Source organism: Homo sapiens, chromosome 1 (assembly GCF_000001405.40).
Source record: "Homo sapiens chromosome 1, GRCh38.p14 Primary Assembly".
Taxonomy (NCBI): Eukaryota; Metazoa; Chordata; class Mammalia; order Primates; family Hominidae; genus Homo; species Homo sapiens.
In genome coordinates this window covers 149,195,884-149,203,226 of record NC_000001.11, presented here as the reverse complement: position 1 = coordinate 149,203,226, position 7,343 = coordinate 149,195,884, and the positions used below count along the sequence as shown (strand labels likewise).

At 38.9% G+C, this 7,343-nt stretch overlaps 1 pseudogene across 1 annotated transcript; it reads left to right on the top strand.

Annotated features, from left to right (window-relative positions):
* Nucleotides 1–2,080: 2,080 nt before the first annotated feature.
* Nucleotides 2,081–5,668, top strand: LOC653513 (phosphodiesterase 4D interacting protein-like; annotated as a pseudogene). Its single transcript, NR_037182.1, is given in 3 exon segments — nucleotides 2,081–2,213; nucleotides 4,743–4,866; nucleotides 5,056–5,668. The product of NR_037182.1 is annotated as a phosphodiesterase 4D interacting protein-like (transcript).
* The last annotated feature ends 1,675 nt before the right edge of the window (nucleotides 5,669–7,343 follow it).

Genomic DNA, 7,343 nt, shown 5'->3' with positions numbered 1-7,343 from the left:
CTCAAATATTGCAAAGGATATACTTCTAATGAAACAAATTATTTGTTGTTTATCTGAAATTTAAATTGAAGTAGATATCTTATATTTTTATTTGCTAAATCTGGTAATGCTATTTAGTGTTCATAAAATAATAACTTTAAAGGATATCCTGAAAAGACAGGGCTATCATTCCCTTCTTTTGAAGAAATTAGGATATTTTCATCTCACTGGATCTGAATCTATGTTCTAACCTTGGTCAAAAGGTACCTACTTATGAGGGGAATAAACATTCTTCTCAGTATGTCACAAAAAAGTACTAGTAATATGATCTAAAATGCCTTGAGTCCAACTGCCTTCCAGCTCTAAAATTCTTTAATTCTAAGTAACTCTCAAATATCTAAACCAGGTTTCTACTTTTCCCAATTAGTATTTGTGTTTCGACCACCCTGCATGGAAACATGGGTTATGAAATGCCTTCACAAGTATGGTAGAAAATATGCTGCTATTGTGTGTTGCCTTGGACTTCTAGAAGTCTAGGTGTTGGTGGTTATTATATGGCGATAGTAAAGTAAAATCCTCCCTACTGTTCTAGTACCCACAATACTACTTTTCATACTTTAGCTACTTTACCTTCAGTCTCTCTGTCAACCTCTGATCTAAAGACTTCTTTACTAAATAACATTCTTCTTGCCTAATACTGTATTATGGACTTCATCAGGGAAGGGACTAATCCATCTTTGCATGCTAACGTTTAAGCTGAAATAAAGTAATCCCTCAATTAACATTTTGCAGAAACCTCCTTAGGTTCCCCTACAAATCTGCCCCTATTTTAGTTAATAGAATGCATTCTCACTGACATGCTGGAAATTTCAGCATTGTCTTTGGTCCTCCCTCCAGTCTAATCTGAATCTCACAAGTCATCAAGGCCTGTGGCTTCTGTCTCTGAAATGGCTTTTGAGTCTTTCTCCCTGTACCTCTTGTCCTTAGACAGTCCCCCTCCCTATTCTGGTTAGTTGCCCCTGACCCACCCACCTTCTTCATAATTCCTTCTTCAACATGGACCCGATCATGCCAATACTTTGCTTAAAGCTCCCTGATAAGTCTTTGATTTCTACTGATTATTATCCAGTTTTTTACTTTTTTAATTTTTTTTATTTTGAGACAGAGTCTCTCTCTGTCACCCAGGCTGGAGTGCAGCAGCATGATCTTGGCTGACTGCAACCTCCACCTCCTGGGTTCAAGCGATTCTCCTGTTTCAGCCTCCCAAGTAGCTGGGATTACAGGCGCATGTCACCACGCCCAGCTAATTTTTGTATTTTTAGCAGAGATGAGGTTTCACCATGTTGGTTAGGCTGGTCTCTAAAGCCTGACCTCGAGTGATCTGCCTGCCTTGGCCTCCCAAAGTGCTGGGATTATAGGTGTGAGCCACCGTGGCCGGCCTATCTAGTTGTCTTAGCAGGATTTTCACAAACTAGTTGCAAACTATTTTCTATACTCCTTACCACACACTAAGCCACTTAACCTGCACCAGACACACTTGGGATGTTTTTATTTCCTTATTTCTGTTTCCCCAAATCTTACTTGTTGCATCCTCACCTCAATAAAAATTAATTGTTCCCTGTATAACTTTACCATCAGAGTCCCCTCTCACCTTAAGCAAACCTAATTTATAAAATTCCAATTTTATGATAAAAGCATTGTTTTTAAAAATGTTTACAACCAAATTTCTTTAAATAATTAAATCCCCAGACATTTAAAAGTATTGTTCTATTACTATAATTCTATTAAAAGTATTATTCCAGCAATTTCGTTTTCAGGAACAACCTGTATTAGATAGGAAAAATTTATTTTAATATATACTCTGTCCTGCAATGGTTTAGAGAACGAATAGACTTAAGCAGTGTTCATGATCCAGGGGTAATGATAAATAGGTTGGGAAAATTGATAAGTAGCTCAGGGGAAACCCTGAAGCTGTACAGTTTATTCTTCCTTGACTAGATTGCTGATCCAACTAAATCCCTAATTATGTCAAGGGTCACAAAGAGGGCAGAGATGAGGTGAGAGGCTGTGGACCAAGGCAAGACTCAAATAGGAACCTGGATCCAGGAAAGAGTGTCTGTGGCAGTTAATAACGATTAATGCCTGTGTGTTTTTCAGAACACTGAGCTGAAGGTTGAAGTGGAGAGCTTGAAACGAGAACTCCAGGACAAGAAACAGCATCTGGATAAAACATGGTAAGTTGTAATTTTAAGCTCTGGTCCTTTCCAGAGTCTGTCTTACTAATCTGAGAGCAATAGATTTGGAACCAAATTCCTTAACCTATCTGTGGCATTTGAATCCTGTGTCTGATTCAGGAACTGAAACAATAGATTTTCATATGCTGTGTTTCCCTTGGGCTCTCTCTCTATTACTAGGTCAGATGGACCTTGTCATAAGTTGGTAAATCCACCAGACCTAAGATTGCAAACTTCCTATTAGTCAGCAATCAACTAAATTGAAACAGTGAATGTTTCCACTTTCAGTAGAGACAAATGCAAATAAGCTTTATCAAAAAGTATCAGTCAGCCTATAATAACATCAAGAGCTGAGATAACGTTTGGGGAAAATGGGCACTCTCATACACTACCAGTGAGTGTAAATTGTGACAACATTTTTAGTATGGGATGCTACCTATTATAGTAAAAAAGGAGGATTTCCTTTGATCAAACAATCCCGAGAAGGAATCTGTTTCTTATAAATAAAAGCGTTAGTGTGAAAGGATAAATGTATAAGGATGTTTATTGCATCATTAGTTGTAATGGCAAAAAACTAGAAACAATTATCCATCAATAGGGCATTGATTGAATAAATTTTGGTATTACTACACTGTGGACTATTATGTAGTTATTGAAGAATGAGTTAGCTCTATATTATTGTCCTAGTGGGAATTCCTTGATTAAAGTAAGGGGGGAAAGTTGCTGAGTGATAATTATAGTATATTGAGGAAGAGTGAGATCACAGTCCGTGATAGGGAGAAGACTTGATATTTTTCTTTATATATATTTATATTGCTAAAATGGTTACTTTTGTAATTTACAGTTTTTTAAAAGCTTAGTGTTAAATGACAAGTATTACTAAAATTATTAAAAATATTTTCAGACTTCAATAAAGTTTCAGAATACAAAAATTAATGTACAAAAATCAGTAGCATTTCACCAGGCACGGTGGCTCACGCCTGTAATCCCAGCAATTTGGGAGGCCGAGGTGGGTGGATCACGAGGTCAGGAGATCGAGACCATCCTGGCTAACACGGTGAACACCGTCTCTACTAAAAATACAAAAAAAAAAAAATTAGCCGGGTGTGGTGGCAGTCGCCTGTTGTCCCAGCTACTTGGGAGGCTGAGGCAGGAGAATGGCGTGAACCCGGGAGGCGGAGCTTGCAGTGAGCCGAGATCATATCACTGCACTCCAGCCTGGGCGACAGAGCCAGACTCCGTCTCAAAAAAAAAAAAAAAAAAAAATCAGTAGCATTTCTACACACCAATAACATTCAAGCTGAGAGCCAAATCAAGAATGCAATCCCATTTACAATATCCGCTAAAAAAAAAATACCTTGGAATACATCTAACCAAGGAGGTGAAAGATCTCTACAAGGAGAACTATGAAACACTGCTAAAAGAAATCATAAATGACACAAACAAATGGAAAAACATTCCATGCTCATGGATTGGAAGAATCAATATCATTAAAATGGCCATACTGCCCAAAGTAATCTACAGATTCAACACTATTCCTATCAAACTACCAATGTCATTCATCAAATGACCAAGATCAAAGCCAGAGGCATCACACTATCCAACTTCAAACTATACTACAAGGCTACAGTTGCCAAAACAGCATGTTGCTGGAAAAAAAAAAAGACACATAGACCAATGGAAGCAAATAGAGAACCCAAAAATAAAGCTACACACCTACAGCAATCTGATCTTCGACAAAATCAACAAAAATAAGCAGTGGGGAAAGCACTCCCCTATTCGATGGTGGTGGGATAGATAACTGGCTAGCCATATGCAAAAGAATGAAACTGGGCCCCTACCTTTCAGCACATATAAAAATTAACTCAAGATGGAGTAAAGATGTAAATGTAAGACCTCAAACTATAAGAATCCTAGAAGAAAACCCAAGAAACACCATTCTGGACATTGGCCTCAGGAATTTATGACTAAGTCCTCAAAAGCAATTGCAACAAAAACAAAAAGAGACAAGTCGGATTTATTTAAACTAAAGAGTTTTGCACAGCAAAAGAAACTATCAACAGAGTAAACAGACAACCTGTAGAATCTAAAAAAATTTGCAACTAGCATCTGAAAAGGGTCTAATATCCAGAATCCATAAGGAATTTAACAATTGAACAATGAAAAACAAATAACCCCATTAAAAAAATGAGCAAAAGGCATGATCAAACACTTTTCAAAAGAAGACATACAAATGCCCACCAAATATATGAAAAATTGCTCCACATCACTAATCATCAGAGAAATATAAATCAAAACCACAATGAGATACCATCTCACACCAGTCAGAATGGCTACTATTAAAACGTCTAAAAACAACAGATGCCGGTGAGGCTGCATAATGGGAATGCTTACACGCTGTTGGTGGAAATATAAACCAGTTCAGTCACTGCAGAAAGCAGTTTGGAGATTTATCAAAGAACAACCTTAATGGTTCCACTTGCTAAACTGTATGTCTGGCTCTGATTGGCTAATGCTCTGTGGTTTTAGGGCTGATGTGGAGAATCTCAACAGTCAGAATGAAGCTGAGCTCCGACGCCAGTTTGAGGAGCGACAGCAGGAGACGGAGCATGTTTATGAGCTCTTGGAGAATAAGATGCAGCTTCTGCAGGAGGTGAGGAGTTCCCAAAGTCCATAGGTACGGGTTCTCTTTTATTAACACTCCTTTTCCTACTGCTCTGCCTTCTGGCATTCACCTTTTCCGTCTCTACTTTCCCTCTGAAATTCATCAATGTTCCTGGGTCTTAGGGCTCCTAATCTAGGTAGAAATTTTGCAGCCTCTCAGTTTTTGTTCTTTTTCCAGGAATCCAGGCTAGCAAAGAATGAAGCTGCGCGGATGGCAGCTCTGGTGGAAGCAGAGAAGGAGTGTAACCTGGAGCTCTCAGAGAAACTGAAGGGAGTCACCAAAAACTGGGAAGATGTACCAGGAGACCAGGTCAAGCCCGACCAATACACTGAGGCCCTGGCCCAGAGGGACAAGTAGGTGCCTTCGGTGCTCTTTTTGTCGCTTGTCTTTTGCCCATTCTCAAGGCATACAGCAGCTGTCCTGTTCCCTTTCAAGGACTGACAGTAGGAGCTTCACTATTTCTAAGACTTTATGGGCCCACAACCGAAGACATTCTTTTCAGGGTTGAATTTTCAGTGGTATCCATTATGAAAACTCACTTCATGGATTCAGTGGGCAAATAGCGGCAAGCAAGAGACATGGATTCACTTATTCAGCAAACATTTACTGGGCATGCCACATGCCAGATACCGGGCTAAGTATCTGGCATGTGTTACAGAAACAAAAGACCTAAATCTTGTCACCAAGAAACATGTTACATGATTTTAATAAGTTCCCTGATAGAAGAGCATGGGGTGCTCTGGGGAAATATTGGAGGGTCATCCATTCCACATTAAAAGAGCAAGTTGTCTGCTGTGGTCTGAATGTTTGTGTCCCATCCCCACCTCCCTCCCCCACCAGTTTATATGTTGAAATCTTAACCCTTAAGGTTAATACTTCTGCCTCCAGAAGTATTATGAGGTGGAGCCATTAGGAGGTGATTAAATCATAGACATTGGAGATGGAGCCCTCATAAATGGGATTAATACGCTTGTAAAAGAGACCTCAGAGAGCTAGTTAGCCCATTCTACCATGTGAGGATATAGTGGGAATGCACCGTTATGAGCCAGAGTGTGAACCTTCACCAGACATTGGACCTGTCAGTGATTTGATCTAGGACTTCCCAGCCTCCAAAACTGTGAGAAATACATTTCCGTTGTTTATAAGCCACCCAGTTTATGGTGTTTTGTTATAGCAGCCCAAAAAGACTAAGATAATGCCATTGAAGGTTTCCTAGAGGAAGTGAAATCTGAGCTGAGCTTTGAAGGATGAATAGGAGGTAGAATAAATAGGTAGAAAGTGGATAGGGAAAGGAAATATTCTATACAGAAGGAGAAACTATGGAGGGAAGACACAGGGAAAGGAGTATTTCAAAAACTTTAAATAATTGTACATAATTGGAGCAAGTGAGAAGACAAGTGAGAGGTAAGCTGTTTTGAGAATAGGGGTCTGATTGTGCCAGCTTTGTATACCATTATAAGGAACTTGGACTTTGTCCTGAAGGTAACTGGGCAATTGTTGAGGTCACCACCATCTACTGTCTGGATTACCGAGGAAACTTTCTAAATGTCCTCTCCACTTCCAGTCCTGCTCCTCTCATTCAATCTCAACCTAATAATTCAGAGTAGTTCTGAAATAGATAATTCAACAACAACAAATTGGCAAATAATGTAGCCTCTTAGGTGCATAAGACTGTGGTGGCATAAAAAGCTTTAAGGAGCTTTTAACTGAATAGGCAAAAACCACATGTGCATACCATGACCAATGTGACCTTTCCAAGACATAAATTTAATCGCACCATGACAGAGCCATTTAAGAAGCTTTGCAATACCTTTAGGAGATAAGATCCATACTCCTAATGTGGCCATCAAAGCCTTTTATGATGTAACCTCTGATTTCTCCCACACTCATCACCCACCACCATTCCTTAACTTCATTCATGCCAGGCTAGTAATAATAATGATGGCTAAGCTTTGTTGAGCTCTTACCATACAGCTGAGTACTTTATGTTCTTGTTTAACAGCCCCATGAGATATGAATTATTATACTTTATTAATGAAAAAATTGGTATCTGGAGACTTGTGAAACATGGTTTCAGGGATTGCTGACATCCAAACCCTGAAGCCATACTGCCTCCAGAAGCATAAGAAGCTATGGCAAGTCTCCAGAATTTTGCTCATGCTTTTCCTTCTGTGGGAAACATCTGCCAACTTTTTCCCTTCTAGTGAACCTCACTAAGGCATCAATCGTCATTTCTTTGAAGGCTTTGTGATAGCAGAATGAAGTTTCTGTATTGTTTCTTTTATATATATATATATATATATATATATATATATATATATATATATATATACACACACACACACATATTGTACAATTCTCAGTATGGCACTGTATTTGCTTTCAGATTTTCCCTACTAGGTTCCCCAAGACTGTCTCATATTTGAACCCCAATAAAAAAAAACTGAACTAAAAACCAAAACAAA